The following is a 17336-nucleotide window of genomic DNA, read 5'->3' as shown; positions in this document are numbered from 1 at the left end:
ATGTGCACTTTGTGCAGGTTAGTTACATATGTATACATGTGCCATGCTGGTGCGCTGCACCCACTAACGCGTCATCTAGCATTAGGTATATCTCCCAATGCTATCCCTCCCCCCTCCCCCCACCCCACCACAGTCCCCAGAGTGTGATATTCCCCTTCCTGTGTCCATGTGATCTCATTGTTCAATACCCACCTATGAGTGAGAATATGCAGTGTTTGGTTTTTTGTTCTTGCGATAGTTTACTGAGAATGATGGTTTCCAATTTCATCCATGTCCCTACAAAGGACATGAACTCATCATTTTTTATGGCTGCATAGTATTCCATGGTGTATATGTGCCACATTTTCTTAATCCAGTCTATCATTGTTGGACATTTGGGTTGGTTCCAAGTCTTTGCTATTGTGAATAATGCCGCAATAAACATACGTGTGCATGTGTCTTTATAGCAGCATGATTTATAGTCATTTGGGTATATACCCAGTAATGGGATGGCTGGGTCAAATGGTATTTCTAGTTCTAGATCCCTGAGGAATCGCCACACTGACTTCCACAATGGTTGAACTAGTTTACAGTCCCACCAACAGTGTAAAAGTGTTCCTATTTCTCCACATCCTCTCCAGCACCTGTTGTTTCCTGACTTTTTAATGATTGCCATTCTAACTGGTGTGAGATGATATCTCATAGTGGTTTTGATTTGCATTTCTCTGATGGCCAGTGATGATGAGCATTTTTTCATGTGTTTTTTGGCTGCATAAATGTCTTCTTTTGAGAAGTGTCTGTTCATGTCCTTCACCCACTTTTTGATGGGGTTGTTTGTTTTTTTCTTGTAAATTTGTTTGAGTTCATTGTAGATTCTGGATATTAGCCCTTTGTCAGATGAGTAGGTTGCGAAATTTTCTCCCATGTTGTAGGTTGCCTGTTCACTCTGATGGTAGTTTCTTTTGCTGTGCAGAAGCTCTTTAGTTTAATTAGATCCCATTTGTCAATTTTGGCTTTTGTTGCCATTGCTTTTGGTGTTTAGTCATGAAGTTCTTGCCCATGCCTATGTCCTGAATGGTAATGCCTAGGTTTTCTTCTAGGGTTTTTATGGTTTTAGGTCTAACATTTAACTCTTTAATCCATCTTGAATTGATTTTTGTATAAGGTGTAAGGAAGGGATCCAGTTTCAGCTTTCTACATATGGCTAGCCAGTTTTCCCAGCACCGTTTATTAAATAGGGAATCCTTTCCCCATTGCTTGTTTTTCTCAGGTTTGTCAAAGATCAGATAGTTGTAGATATGCGGCGTTATTTCTGAGGGCTCTGTTCTGTTCCATTGATCTATATCTCTGTTTTGGTACCAGTACCATGCTGTTTTGGTTACTGTAGCCTTGTAGTATAGTTTGAAGTCAGGTAGTGTGATGCCTCCAGCTTTGTTCTTTTGGCTTAGGATTGACTTGGCGATGCGGGCTCTTTTTTGGTTCCATATGAACTTTAAAGTAGTTTTTTCCAATTCTGTGAAGAAAGTCATTGGTAGCTTGATGGGGATGGCATTGAATCTGTAAATTACCTTGGGCAGTATGGCCATTTTCACGATATTGATTCTTCCTACCCATGAGCATGGAATGTTCTTCCATTTGTTTGTATCCTCTTTTATTTCCTTGAGCAGTGGTTTGTAGTTCTCCTTGAAGAGGTCCTTCACATCCCTTGTAAGTTGGATTCCTAGGTATTTTATTCTCTTTGAAGCAATTGTGAATGGGAGTTCACTCATGATTTGGCTCTCTGTTTGTCTGTTGTTGGTGTATAAGAATGCTTGTGATTTTTGTACATTGATTTTGTATCCTGAGACTTTGCTGAAGTTGCTTATCAGCTTAAGGAGATTTTGGGCTGAGACGATGGGGTTTTCTAGATAAACAATCATGTCGTCTGCAAACAGGGACAATTTGACTTCCTCTTTTCCTAATTGAATACCCTTTATTTCCTTCTCCTGCCTGATTGCCCTGGCCAGAACTTCCAACACTATGTTGAATAGGAGCGGTGAGAGAGGGCATCCCTGTCTTGTGCCAGTTTTCAAAGGGAATGCTTCCAGTTTTTGCCCATTCAGTATGATATTGGCTGTGGGTTTGTCATAGATAGCTCTTATTATTTTGAGATACGTCCCATCAATACCTAATTTATTGAGAGTTTTTAGCATGAAGGGTTGTTGAATTTTGTCAAAGGCCTTTTCTGCATCTATTGAGATAATCATGTGGTTTTTGTCTTTGGCTCTGTTTATATGCTGGATTACATTTATTGATTTGCGTATATTGAACCAGCCTTGCATCCCAGGGATGAAGCCCACTTGATCATTGTGGATAAGCTTTTTGATGTGCTGCTGGATTCGGTTTGCCAGTATTTTATTGAGGATTTTTGCATCAATGTTCATCAAGGATATTGGTCTAAAATTCTCTTTTTTGGTTGTGTCTCTGCCCGGCTTTGGTATCAGAATGATGCTGGCCTCATAAAATGAGTTAGGGAGGATTCCCTCTTTTTCTATTGATTGGAATAGTTTCAGAAGGAATGGTACCAGTTCCTCCTTGTACCTCTGGTAGAATTTGGCTGTGAATCCATCTGGTCCTGGACTCTTTTTGGTTGGTAAACTATTGATTATTGCCACAATTTCAGATCCTGTTATTGGTCTATTCAGAGATTCAACTTCTTCCTGGTTTAGTCTTGGGAGAGTGTATGTGTCGAGGAATGTATCCATTTCTTCTAGATTTTCTAGTTTATTTGCATAGAGGTGTTTGTAGTATTCTCTGATGGTAGTTTGTATTTCTGTGGGATCGGTGGTGATATCCCCTTTATCATTTTTTATTGTGTCTATTTGATTCTTCTCTCTTTTTTTCTTTATTAGTCTTGCTAGCGGTCTATCAATTTTGTTGATCCTTTCAAAAAACCAGCTCCTGGATTCATTGATTTTTTGAAGGGTTTTTTGTGTCTCTATTTCCTTCAGTTCTGCTCTGATTTTAGTTATTTCTTGCCTTCTGCTAGCTTTTGAATGTGTTTGCTCTTGCTTTTCTAGTTCTTTTAATTGTGATGTTAGGGTGTGAATTTTGGATCTTTCCTGCTTTCTCTTGTAGGCATTTAGTGCTATAAATTTCCCTCTACACACTGCTTTGAATGTGTCCCAGAGATTCTGGTATGTTGTGTCTTTGTTCTCGTTGGTTTCAAAGAACATCTTTATTTCTGCCTTCATTTCGTTATGTACCCAGTAGTCATTCAGGAGCAGGTTGTTCAGTTTCCATGTAGTTGAGCGGCTTTGAGTGAGATTCTTAATCCTGAGTTCTAGTTTGATTGCACTGTGGTCTGAGAGATAGTTTGTTATAATTTCTGTTCTTTTACATTTGCTGAGGAGAGCTTTACTTCCAAGTATGTGGTCAATTTTGGAATAGGTGTGGTGTGGTGCTGAAAAAAATGTATATTCTGTTGATTTGGGGTGGAGAGTTCTGTAGATGTCTATTAGGTCCGCTTGGTGCAGAGCTGAGTTCAATTCCTGGGTATCCTTGTTGACTTTCTGTCTCGTTGATCTGTCTAATGTTGACAGTGGGGTGTTAAAGTCTCCCATTATTAATGTGTGGGAGTCTAAGTCTCTTTGTAGGTCATTCAGGACTTGCTTTATGAATCTGGGTGCTCCTGTATTGGGTGCATAAATATTTAGGATAGTTAGCTCCTCTTGTTGAATTGATCCCTTTACCATTATGTAATGGCCTTCTTTGTCTCTTTTGATCTTTGTTGGTTTAAAGTCTGTTTTATCAGAGACTAGGATTGCAACCCCTGCCTTTTTTTGTTTTCCATTTGCTTGGTAGATCTTCCTCCATCCTTTTATTTTGAGCCTATGTGTGTCTCTGCACGTGAGATGGGTTTCCTGAATACAGCACACTGATGGGTCTTGACTCTTTATCCAACTTGCCAGTCTGTGTCTTTTAATTGGAGAATTTAGTCCATTTATATTTAAAGTTAATATTGTTATGTGTGAATTTGATCCTGTCATTATGATGTTAGCTGGTGATTTTGCTCATTAGTTGATGCAGTTTCTTCCTAGTCTCGATGGTCTTTACATTTTGGCATGATTTTGCAGCGGCTGGTACTGGTTGTTCCTTTCCATGTTTAGCGCTTCCTTCAGGAGCTCTTTTAGGGCAGGCCTGGTGGTGACAAAATCTCTCAGCATTTGCTTGTCTATAAAGTATTTTATTTCTCCTTCACTTATGAAGCTTAGTTTGGCTGGATATGAAATTCTGGGTTGAAAATTCTTTTCTTTAAGAATGTTGAATATTGGCCCCCACTCTCTTCTGGCTTGTAGGGTTTCTGCCGAGAGATACGCTGTTAGTCTGATGGGCTTCCCTTTGAGGGTAACCCGACCTTTCTCTCTGGCTGCCCTTAACATTTTTTCCTTCATTTCAACTTTGGTGAATCTGACAATTATGTGTCTTGGTGTTGCTCTTCTCGAGGAGTATCTTTGTGGCGTTCTCTGTATTTCCTGAATCTGAACGTTGGCCTGCCTTGCTAGATTGGGGAAGTTCTCCTGGATAATATCCTGCAGAGTGTTTTCCAACTTGGTTCCATTCTCCACATCACTTTCAGGTACACCAATCAGACGTAGATTTGGTCTTTTCACATAGTCCCATATTTCTTGGAGGCTTTGCTCATTTCTTTTTATTCTTTTTTCTCTAAACTTCCCTTCTCGCTTCATTTCATTCATTTCATCTTCCATTGCTGATACCCTTTCTTCCAGTTGATCGCATCGGCTCCTGAGGCTTCTGCATTCTTCACGTAGTTCTCGAGCCTTGGTTTTCAGCTCCATCAGCTCCTTTAAGCACTTCTCTGTATTGGTTATTCTAGTTATACATTCTTCTAAATTTTTTTCAAAGTTTTCAACTTCTTTGCCTTTGGTTTGAATGTCCTCCCGTAGCTCAGAGTAATTTGATCGTCTGAAGCCTTCTTCTCTCAGCTCGTCAAAATCATTCTCCATCCAGCTTTGTTCCGTTGCTGGTGAGGAACTGCGTTCCTTTGGAGGAGGAGAGGCGCTCTGCGTTTTAGAGTTTCCAGTTTTTCTGTTCTGTTTTTTCCCCATCTTTGTGGTTTTATCTACTTTTGGTCTTTGATGATGGTGATATACAGATGGGTTTTCGGTGTGGATGTCCTTTCTGGTTGTTAGTTTTCCTTCTAACAGACAGGGCCCTCAGCTGCAGGTCTGTTGGAATACCCTGCCTTGTGAGGTGTCAGTGTGCCCCTGCTGGGGGGTGCCTCCCAGTTAGGCTGCTCGGGGGTCAGGGGTCAGGGACCCACTTGAGGAGGCAGTCTGCCAGTTCTCAGATCTCCAGCTGCGTGCTGGGAGAACCACTGCTCTATTCAAAGCTGTCAGACAGGGACACTTAAGTCTGCAGAGGTTACTGCTGTCTTTTTGTTTGTCTGTGCCCTGCCCCCAGAGGTGGAGCCTACAGAGGCAGGCAGGCCTCCTTGAGCTGTGGTGGGCTCCACCCAGTTCGAGCTTCCCGGCTGCTTTGTTTACCTAAGCAAGCCTGGGCAATGGCGGGCGCCCCTCCCCCAGCCTCGCTGCCGCCTTGCAGTTTGATCTCAGACTGCTGTGCTGGCAATCAGCGAGATTCCGTGGGCGTAGGACCCTCTGAGCCAGGTGTGGGATATAGTCTCGTGGTGCGCCGTTTCTTAAGCCGGTCTGAAAAGCGCAATATTCGGGTGGGAGTGACCCGATTTTCCAGGTGCGTCCGTCACCCCTTTCTTTGACTCGGAAAGGGAACTCCCTGACCCCTTGCGCTTCCCAGGTGAGGCAATGCCTCGCCCTGCTTCGGCTCGCGCAAGGTGCGCGCACCCACTGGCCTGCGCCCACTGTCTGGCACTCCCTAGTGAGATGAACCCGGTACCTCAGATGGAAATGCAGAAATCACCCGTCTTCTGCGTCGCTCACGCTGGGAGCTGTAGACCGGAGCTGTTCCTATTCGGCCATCTTGGCTCCTCCCTGAACCCTAATATCAGTTCTTTGACAGGCCGAGGCAGCAGGAGGATCACTTGAGCTCAGAAGTTCAAGACCAGCCTGGGTAACATAGTGAGACCTCATCTCTATAAATAATAAAAAATAAGCCAGGCATGGTGGTGCTTGCCTGTGGTCCCAGCTACTCAGGAGGTTGAGGTTGGAGGATCACTTGAGCCCAAGAAGTCAAGGCTGCAGTGAGCCCTTATTGTACCACTGCACTGCAATCTGGGTGACAGCCAGACAAAAAAAAAAAAAGAAAGAGAGAAAGAAAGAAAGAGAGAGAGAAGAAAGAAAGAGAGAGAAAAGAAAGAAGAAAGAGAGAAGAAAGAGAAGAAAAGGAAGAGAAGAAAGAAAGGGAAAGAAAGAGAAGAAAGAGAGAGAAGAAAGAAAGAGAAGAAAAAGAAAGAAAGAAGAAAGAGAGAAGAAAGAAAAAGAAAGAAGAGAGAGAAGAAAGAGAGAAGAAAGGAAGAGAGAGAAGAAAGATGAGAAAGAAAGAGAGAAGAAAAGAAAGAAGAAAGAGGAGAGAGAAAAGAAGGAGAAGAAAGAAAGACAAGAAAGAAAGAAAAGAAAGAAAGGAAGTTAAGATGCTAGGAACATATAGTTAATTTTTCTGCTTGAAGATTTAAAAATTACAGAGCTACAGCAAACCAACACAGGAACAGAAAACCAAACACAATTTCTCACTCGTAAGTGGGAGTTGAACAATGAGAACAAGTGGACACAGGGAGGGGAACATCACACACCGGAGCCTGTCGGGGGTGTTGGGGGGCAAGGGGAGGGAGAGCATTAAGACAAATACCTAATGCATGCGGGGCTTAAAACCTAGATGACGAGTTGATGGGTGCAACAAACCACCATGGCATGTGTATACCTATGTAACAAACCTGCACGTTCTGCACATGTTTCCCAGAACTTAAAGTAAAATTAAAATAAATAAATAATAATAATTACAGAGCTACCCAGGCACTAGAAACACATTCTTTCTAACCATATGTAGAGACCTAAACATTTTCAATGAGATTTACCAATGGTCTGTACAGAGTTCTCAAAAGCAGTCAGTGGCATTCAAAACCATTAGAGCCATATGCTGAGTACAGTGAACAAATGCTTACTCAAATGGAAAGTGGGCAAGCAGAGTTCCTGTGTCCTTCAAAGAAATGAGAACAAAGACTGAAAAACTTTGCAGTTATCTCCTAATTTGACTAACTGGGTTTTTAAAAGTCTGATGTTTTTATTCAAATGACGTTGATGTCCTGAGATTCAAGGGTTCTCTGTTCTTGAACATGGACCACCTCACATAGATGGGCAGCCTGGTCTGTGGGTGGACAGTGTTCCCCTGGAGTGGGTAATGTCTTCAGATACCTGCACACCATAAAAGAGTAGGAACTACTTTCTCCTACCCTACTGAACCACAGAAGGTGACATTTGGAGGTGATGTAGTAAGCATTGCTCAAAAGTCAGAGCTTTAAAATGGTTATCTTTTTGACTTTCCCCTCTCAATTCACTTTTTTCCCCCCCACAAGTTTAATACAACTTAATTAAAGGATTTTTGTTGAACACTTATTCTGGGCAATTTAGCGATAACACGGCCCCTACCCTCAGTGTGTGTGTGTTTGTGTGTGTGTGTGTGTGTCCATGATTTCAGGTTTGTATGGCAAGGAAGAGGGACCAGGTGGGTGGGTGCAAAGGATGAGTGGAACAAACAATTCCCCAAATATTTGGGACATAAAGGGAAGATGAGGATAAAAGGAGGATAAAAGTTCTGTGAGGATAAAAAGGAAGGAGACATAAGCTTATGCTTTTTCTGTAATATCTTATACCTTTGTTATTCTCTAAGTTAGGAAATAATATATTTTAGGACATGTTCAACTTGGAAGCAATGAGGAGCTTGAGAATTTATGACAGTAGAGTATAATAATCCGCCCCCTGGTATGAGAAAAAGAATTCTGGTACTGAAACTGGCCTCTGAGATGGAATACCATGAATAGGACTCAACCTCTATCATTCCAGAGAGACAAGAATCAGTACCATTTTTTTCCAGTTCCATTTTAAAAGGCCATCAAAGAAATAAATGTCATAAACAACGCCAGACATCCAGCTTAGTGCTTAACTTCTCAGCATAGGTTTTTTATGATTAATATAAGTCTCTCATTCTACCGTTTAAAGTCTCAAGTTTTCTTTTTAGGATAAGGACTGAAAATAGTTAGTTGCCAACTGTAGCTCAATAAACCCTCATTATAAAATAGAACTCTCTTCCAATACTGGTTTCATGGGAGAGATCTAGTGGATTGCCTATGTTGTATGAACAATTTTTCTGGTATGCTGTTTATCATGCTGTTATTATGTTAATTTAGGTGACATTAGGTTCATGTGTCATAAAGAACCATATGATAACCAAAGGTCTGCCTTAATTTCAAGGTCATTCTTTAGCCAGCTCTCACATTTCTCAGGCTAAATAATACGTGAAAAGTCTTTTCCTCAATATATTAATGTGAGGCATCTTCATGCCCTAGGATGGTCCCTGTCAGCAGTCACTAGAGACGTATACCCTGCGGTCAGGGGGACATCTTGAGGGAAGTCTCATTTCCAAGACTCTCTTATAAAGTTTTTGAGGCTCCTGTCTTCCAAATCCAGAGTCCTAAACTATCATGGAACTGTGGTTAATGTTCCATAGGTAATGTGACTTTGTAAAATCTACTTTCTGTTATTTTCTGTCCATTCCCAGGATGTAACTGACATTTTTGTTTTCTACAGATAGATGATACTTGTTCGTCTTTTCTGTCCATTGATTCTCAGCCTCAGGTAATTCCAATTGAAGATATTTTGTAATAATGTAGGTGTTTGTGTAGTGCTTAAACTCTCCATTGCTGCCTTTGGAACCTTTATGTGTTCGTGAAAACATGTCAACGTGTGAGATATTATTACATTTGCTGTAGATAATAATCAATACTGTGGGCTTGTGTTGTAATGTGCTAGGGCTTTCATCTCTAAATAAAATAGATTTGCAGACAATATACACGTATTTTGTAACGTCAAATTAAAATGTTAATTTCAAAATCAAATTATGTGTTAAGTTAGAAATACTGTATCTGTCAGGGTGCAGTGGCTCATGCCTGTAATCCCAGTGCTTTGAGAGGCCCAGGTGGGAGGATCACTTGAGGCTGGGAGTTCAAGACTAGCCTGGGCAACATAGCAAGACCCCGTCTCCACCAAATAATAAAAATTTAAGCAAACTAACACAGGAACAGAAAACCAAATATTGCATGTTCTCACTTATAAGTGGGAGTTAAGTGACGAGAACACATGGACACAAAGAGGGGAACAACAGACACAGGGCCTGCTAGAGGGTGGAGGTGGGAGGAGGGAGAGGATCAGTAACTATTGGGTACTAGATTTAGTACCTGGGTGATGAAATAATCTGTATAACAGACCCCTGTGACACAAGTTTACCTACATGACAATCTTGCACATGTACTCCTGAACCTAAAATAAAAGTTTAAATAATAATAAAAATTTAAAATACTGTATCTATTGCTGTATTTGGGGACAAATATCCTATCTCCCAATTGAGTTTGAAACCATTGAGAGATGAATTTATGAGTCAGACTTTTGGAGGTCAAAGCATCATCATTATAACTGAAAAGTCCATTTGTTACTGTGGCTTCAGATCTGATATCAAGCGTGTTTGCTATAATTGCCTCCAGAATTAAACTTGCCTGCAAGTCCCAGACAGTGACTCTGAGCTTTCCACCAGTCAGATTCTCAGCCACAGGGCAGAGACCAAGCAAGAACAGCTGACCAGAGCAAGAACACTGACTCTATAGAGGAAAGAGCTGAACTGAACATGCCCAGTTTCTTCCTCTCAGTTCACCTACCAGACAGCTCACTCCTCTTCAATAGAAAAGAATTAAGAGGAGGTTTTGGAAAGAGGCCAGGAGTGCTAATCTAGCTCCTCTGCATGGACACTTAAGAAGTGGGGAATAAGTGTGTTCTTACATTGTCTTTACTGGATGCTGCTGCTTTCAGAGTCATCAGCTATGCGCCTGCGGCATACTCCCTACATAGTTTGGCCGAGGTGCCCAGGCTGTTGGTCACACAGTCTCCAGTTGTGTTTTCCTGGCCAGTGTGAAGAAACAGCCTTGTATAGTGTTGTATTTCTCCTGCCTCAACCCATTCCGTAGGTACCTGCTGGAAATTTGAGGTATTAGATAGTAAAGCAAGACCAGAATCACAATAGATGATGTTTTTGAACAATATTTCAAATTATTCAAGGAGCATTGGCAGATATATATTAATAACATGAGATTATATTAATCAGCATATATGCATTTGTATTGTATTTAAAATTCAGGAACATCCTCAAAATCACTTCTAGTTCTTTAGTACTAAGAGGATGAATTTTAAAGCACTCATTTAAACTTCATCAAGATAAACTAATGTTTGACTGGATTTCAGTACTGTGCCTCTTTCAAGAGGAGCTTAGTAAATTTACTATTTGAAAGTTTTACATTTGCAATTGAAATTGTAATAAATTTAATACTTTAAAAAATTATTGTTTTATTACATGTGAAATTAAAGCTATGCATTAAAACCTAATTTTGGTTTCACTGTAGTATATTGGTGATGTTCTTATATAGGATACATTTATAGCCAGCACCTGGAATCATGCTTGAGAAGAGACTCAATAAATATCTCTTTAATTACTTAGTTAATAAGACCCAGTAGCAAACATGCTATGCAGAAATTGTTCTCTTGTAACAAATATCATTATATCATCCCTTTTTTTTGGCCCATTCATTAGTTTAAAAACCATATAAATATGGTTTTACTGATTTGGCTCTCAAATAAAAAATATAAATTCTGGAAGAATACATACAAAATAAATGATAATGGTTATGTGGAAGGGGAGTCCTAGGTGGATAGGACAGAAACAGGAGGACTTTTTAACTGGATATCATCTTATAATTTTTTAGTTTTGAAACTTGTGAAATTATGAATTACAAAAAACTCAAAGGAAAGAAATGAAAGAAATTATATAAAAGAGATAGATTCACAAGTCCCTTCCCTAGAAATAGCTGCTAAACTAATACAGATGCATCTCTTTGGAATGGTGCTTATGTATAGTAACTGTATTTGGGTACCTTCACAAGAATAAGTAATATTAATAAATTAGGAATTGTTTTTTGTATTCCTAATGTTTTGGGAATATATCATTTTATGGGCTTACTTCTGTGGCTGGGTTTCTTCATATGCTTGGTGGTCGCTGGCTGGCTATCAGCAGGGGTGGTGGAGGCAACCGGGTGAAGTGTTACTTACAGTCCAGCAGGGTAGTCTGAGCTTTTTCACATGGTTGCTGGGTTCCACCAGCTGTGGGAGAGCAAGCTCCATCACCTAATTGGGTTTCAAACCTCTGCTTGTGACATATTTACTCATGCCTCACTGGCCAAAGCAAGACAAAGAGTCAATGTGGGGGGCCACACTCAGTGTCTGCGTTAGGGGACTGACTGCATAAAGGCAATGGATACAGGGGGGCGTGATTCAATGGGGATATTATTATAACTAATTACTATAATTTCTAAAAATTGTCATTATTTTCTCAAAACATTGATAATAAACTCAATTCATGAGTGGGCAATTCGGTACACAACTGAAAACTAGTGATAAGTATAACTATTGTTGTACTCAGATTTAAGGTTTTAGCATCACTTAGTCATTTAAAATACTAAGTCATCATATCACTGCTTTGCTCCAAATCTTCCTATGGTTTCTTATTACAATTAGAATAGTATCAAAATCCCTTGATAGAGCCTACAGAACCTAAATAATTTTTTTTTTAATTTTAGGTTCAGGGGTAAATGTGCAGATTTGTTATGTAGTTAAAGTGTGTTGTGGAGGTTTGGTGTATAGATTATTTCATCACCCAGGTAATAAGCATAGTACTAAATAGGTATTTTTTTTATCCTAACCCTCTTTCCACCCTCTACTCTCAAGTAGGCCTCGGTATCTACTGTTTCCTTCTCTTTGCCCACGTGCATCCGTGTTTAGCTCCTACTTATAAGTGAGAACGTGTGGTATTTGGTTTTCTGTTCCTATGTTATTTCGCTTAGGGTAATACCCTCCAGCTCCATCCATGTTGCTGCAAAGGATATGATCTCATTCTTTTTTATGGCTGTGTAGTATTCGGTGGTGTATATGTACCACCAAATTTGATACAATTTTAAAACATTGTTAATTTTCACATATACTATTATCTTATTATTTATGTGATTACATGACCATTGCTTTGAAACATTTTTACCAAGTAGAAAATGTTATCTTTAAGGTCTATACATTTAAAAATAAGATATTAAAACTTTCATGTATTTAAATCCTTGAAGAATAGTTGAGAATTGGCTTCTTGTAAAGGGGAGTTGGGGAAAATGCACTTGCTTTGAAACTTTTTCAGTCAAAGTTCAATCTTACTGAAGCTCATCCAGCTTAGAAACTGTTTTCTAAGAAGAAACAACTCATGTGTGAATTTATTCTTCTTTGAGTTGAAATACATTTTTGAAACATGACATCACTAGGTATTTTCTTTCTATTGTTTTGTATTTTCTATTTTGAAATCAGCCATACGTGTTTATTCTTCTTTGAGGTGAAATACATTTTTGACACATGACATCACTGGGTATTTTCTTCTTATTGTTTTGTATTTTCTATTTTGAAATGAGCATAAGTGGAGCATTTTGTTTTTGTTTTTAGAGATAGGGTCTCACTCTGTCGCCCAGGCTGGAATGCAGTGGTACAATTATAGCTCGCCACAGCTACGAACTCCTGGGCTCAAGCAATCCTCCCACCTCAGCCTCCTGAATAGCTGGGACTACAGGAGCATGCCACCATGCCCAGCTAATTAAAAGAAAACAATTTTGTGTAAAGATGGGGGTCTCACTGTCTTGACCAAGCTGTTAAGGGAAGTTATAGGGATTTTATTTCAGATTTTTGTGGGGTGACCTGTGTATTCAGCCCTTAAATATAACCAGTGAGAAAGGATGTATCAGTGTTCACACTCTAGTTTTTCTCGCAGCCAACTCCCAACTCCAGGCTTAGCAGGCAATACCAATGCAACACAATAATATCTACAAATCAGAAGGCCAAGGTCCCAGGCCACACTCCTCCAACTCCTAGCCATGTGTGGTATTGGGCAAGTGACAGTCTCTTAGAACCTTACTTCCTCTGTATATGAGAATAACAATTCATGTCCTGTGTAGGACAGAATACAAATTACGTATAGTCATGCATCACTTAAAAATGGGGATATACATTCTGAGAAATATGTCCTTGGATGATTTGTCATTGTATAAACATCATAGAGCGTACTTACACAAATCTAGATGTACAGCCTACTACACACCTAGGCTATATGGCTACAAACCTGTACAGCACATTACTGTACTGAATATTGTGGGCAGTTGTAACACACTATGTAATTAAACATATCTAAATGTAGAAAAGGTACAGTAAATACATAATGTAAAAGATAAAAAATGATACACTTGTATAGGGCACTCACCATGAATGGAGCTTGAAAGACTGGAAGTTGCTTTGGGTGAGTCAGTGAGTCAGTAATGAGTGAATGTGAAGGCCTAGGACATTACAATACACTACTGCAGATTTCATAAACACTGTAAACTTAGGCTGCGTTAAATTTATTTAAAAATTTTTCTCTCTTCAATAATAAATTAACCTTAGCTTACTGTAACTTTTTTACTTTTATAAACTTTTTAATTTTTTCTTTTTCAAGACAGGGTTTCATTCTGTCATCCAGGCTGGAGTGCAGTGGCATAATCATGGCTCACTGCAGCCTCGAACTCCTGGGCTCAGATGATCCTCCCATTTCAGCCTCCTGAGTAGCTGGGACTACAGGCATGCACCACCACACCTGGCTAATTTTTTGTGTTTTTTGTAGAGACAGGATCTTGCTATGTTGTCCAGGCTGGTCTCAAACTCCTGGGCTCAAGCAGTTCTTCCACCTTGGCCTCCCAAAGTGCTGGAATTACAGGCATGAGCCACCGTTCCTGGCCAACTTTTTAATATTTTAGAACTTTTTTCTCTTTTGTAATGACACTTGGCTTATAACACAAACATGCTGAACAGGTGTACGAAATATTTTCTTTCTTTATATCCTCATTCTATAAGCTTTTGAAATTAAAAAGAATTTTTTTGACTTTTTAAACTTTGTTGTTAAAAATGAAGACACAAGCATGCATATTAGCCTAGGCCTACACAGGTCAGGATCATTAAGATGTGACTAGATGATAGGAGTTTTTCAGCTTCATAATAATCTTATGTGACCATCATTGTATACGCATTCTATCATTGACTCATTGACTGACATGCCCTTATGTGGTGCATGACTGTATATGAAAATGTTTTATAATTTATTGAAACACTATGTACATATGAGGCATTATTAATAAATATCCCAAGAATTTGCATGACAAGCAAACAAATGGAATGAAGAGAACAAAGCAGGCCTCTGATGCTAGGAAGGGTGCACAGAAAAACTGTCAACTCCACCTGTGTCTCTAACCACAACCAACCATGTCAAGCATGTACTGTTGTTCAAAGGGAGAGGAGGTGAGACTACTGGAGGCCTTGAACAATTCTTTTCATATGTCTTTCTTTTTTTTTTTTTTCTGAGACAGAGTCTCACTCCATCACCCAGGCTGGAGTGCAGTGTCGAGATCTCGGCTCACTGCAACCTCTGCCTCCCAGGTTCAAGTGATTCTCCTGCCTCAGCCTCCCGAGTAGCTGGAATTACAGGCGTGTGCTAACATGCCCGGCTAATTTTTTGTATTTTAGTAGAGACTGGGTTTCACCGTGTTGGCCAGGCTGGTCTCGAATTCCTGACCTCAGGTGATCCATCTGCCTCAGCCTCCCAAAGTGCTGGCATTACAGGCGTGAGCCCCTGCACCCGACCTCTTTTTCATTTAACTTCTAAATTAAGAATCCCTTCAGCTGTAAATCAACCTGAGAACTTTACCTACATTTAATTCTTCTAAGAACTCTCTGCAGCAATGTCATCCCCGACTTAGAGCTGAAGAAACGGAAATTAAGAGAGGTTAGGTAACCAGCCTAAGGTTACACAGCTAATAAAGAGCAGAAATGGAATTTGCACTGCGATAGAGTTACAGGCTTCCCAACTCCATAGCTCATGCTTTTAACCACTAATTACATTGCCCTCCCTACTGTTCTAGTTCTTCATTACTTCCAAAATGCATACATTAAGTAATCAATTGTTTATGGTGCTACTGTGCTAAATTCTGTGCAAAGCAGGTTTCGCCCCTGCTTGTCCATTTCTTCTACTCCTTACCACACCCAGCTGGCTGCTAACCACAGAGCCCTGCCCTACTTCTGTGCTCGAATGCTTTGAAAAACCTGATCCTGGGCTGTGCAGTCAGCAATCTGGAAGGGTGGTACTCAGATTAGGTGCACCACGCATGGGTTCTTCTCCTCCACTTCCCATTGTTTTTGAGCAATTGCAGGATTTTCAAATTAGCCAATAATGAGTAATATTCAGCGAGGCTCACAGCTTTGGCATGTAGATACAGATTTTGCTACAAGCTGGGAAGAATAATTCCTCTTCTGGCACTGTCCCTTGTTACTCTCAGTCATAGAATTTCATAATATTTTAGCAAGTGCTGAGAACTATGTATCTAGATCACAGCGGAAGCCTTCATGAGTGCATATGTACCGTACTTACCTTTTTTTTTTTTCTGGTTAGAAGGAAGGCTTTACTTTTACAGCCAAGTTTTTGTTGTGAGAGAAATCAAAGGATTCCAACAGTTTTAATAATCTACAGAAGGATTCTTTTCCAGGTAGTTAGCATTTCCTCATGCCCCTAACATTTTGTAGTTACCTCTTCTATGTAAATGTCGTTAAAGCAGAAGCATAACTTACATATCTTCTCATTTCTGTTAGGCATCCAACGCACTGGAGGAGCTTTGCTTTATGATTATGGGAATGCTACCAAAGCCTCAGGTAAGCTTGAAATAGTGTTTTGTTTGTAGACAAAAATTATCCAAAAATTTCTTGGAATTTCTCCTGGAAGAAAATATGCCCAATTTAGGAAGCATGCCAAGACAGGTTAGAAGAGGAAAAATTGTTTTTGGATAAGAAATACTTCAGGTTCTCTGATGTCTGAGAATTGAGCATCATATTAATGGAGCTTACAGTAATCTAATTGGGAAATCATATCACCCCATCAAATATAAAATGAGTTCCAGTCCGGAGGAATAAATATGGGGTCATGTTGGCTCTCTTTTTTTTGCCCTGACTCATGCTACTTTGGAGAACAGATGCATCTTTCTAAGCTGCTAAGCACATCTTATGGTTCAAAGGTCAGGACATTGTACTTTGTGGGAGAGTAGGGCATTAAGAATGCAAAAAAAAAAAGCAAACTGTATTGTCATTGTCTTGGTTTCTTATTAAAATTACCTGATTCTTCTGGGAGAACTTTTTGTCCTGGAGTGAGAGTAGATGGGAACTTGAAAAGTAGCATAAGCACCATACCTAATTTTATAATCTCTATCTTATGGATGAACTTATTTTAAAGCTACTTTATTAAAGATGAGAGCTTCAGGTTTGGAATTATATTTTTCATTGGCAATTCTAACTTAATCTGTGGTGATTGGTACACTCTGACTTCCATACCTTTCATATATAATAATTCAAAGAAAAAAACATTCATAATTTGAAAGCATAAATGTTTTATGAAACTAAATAATCTCTGCCTGAAATTGTATATTTATCCATTGTTTCTAATGGTGACATTGTCCAAAAAGCGTAATTGATTTTTTCCTAATTAAGATAAAAGAAATGACAACGGTGTTTATTCATGGTCTTCCATTTGTATTAAAAGCAAGTGAGAAAGAACAACAACAAAAAAGGAATTATAAGATTTAAATTTTTTTTTTTTTTTTTTTTGAGATGGAGTCTCGCTCTGTCGCCCAGGCTGGAGTACAGTGGCGCCATCTCGGCTCACTGCAAGCTCCGCCTCCCAGGTTCACGCCATTCTTCTGCCTCAGCCTCCTGAATAGCTGGGACTACAGGCGCTCGCCCCACCAGGCCTGGCTAATTTTTTGTATTTTTTTTAGTAGAGACAGGGTTTCACCGTGTTAGCCAGGATCGTCTCAGTCTCCTGACCTTGTGATCCGCCCACCTCGGGCTCCCAAAGTGCTGGGATTACAGGCGCAAGCCACCGCGCCCGGCTAAAAATTTTTTTATGGAAGACATCAAAACCAACTCATAACCTTCATATTTAGTGATAAACAGTAAAAATATTTGCATGTG

The 17336-nt window shown here is 39.8% G+C and overlaps 1 protein-coding gene across 7 annotated transcripts in view, besides 1 other annotated feature; it reads left to right on the top strand.

Moving 5' to 3' along the window:
• The window catches only part of NMU (neuromedin U), a 41563-nt gene that overhangs the window by 11649 nt on the left and 12578 nt on the right, over positions 1–17336 (top strand). For 4 of the 7 annotated variants that reach the window (NR_120489.2, NM_001292046.2, NM_006681.4 and 1 more), the window contains exons 3-4: positions 8760–8807; positions 15966–16025. Coding sequence is in view for 6 of the 7 variants with exons in the window: in NM_001292046.2 (NP_001278975.1) it covers positions 8760–8807; positions 15966–16025 (108 nt within the window). In the remaining variant the exon portion in view is untranslated. Of the gene's footprint in view, positions 1–8759; positions 8808–15444; positions 15863–15965; positions 16026–17336 lie in introns of those variants that run through there. The other 3 variants (XM_047449544.1, NM_001292045.2, XM_011534367.3) reach the window with 2 other exon arrangements.
• Positions 7153–7202: a silencer, noted in NCBI's record as "silent region_15443". NCBI's record gives its function as "represses an Ori minimal core promoter by ATAC-STARR-seq in GM12878 lymphoblastoid cells {active_cell/tissue: GM12878}" and the evidence as "EXISTENCE:reporter gene assay evidence [ECO:0000049][PMID:35858748]".

Source organism: Homo sapiens, chromosome 4, assembly GCF_000001405.40.
Source record: "Homo sapiens chromosome 4, GRCh38.p14 Primary Assembly".
NCBI classification, from domain to species: Eukaryota; Metazoa; Chordata; class Mammalia; order Primates; family Hominidae; genus Homo; species Homo sapiens.
The sequence above is the reverse complement of the archived record's forward strand: the minus strand, read 5'-3'. Positions and strand labels throughout refer to the sequence as shown.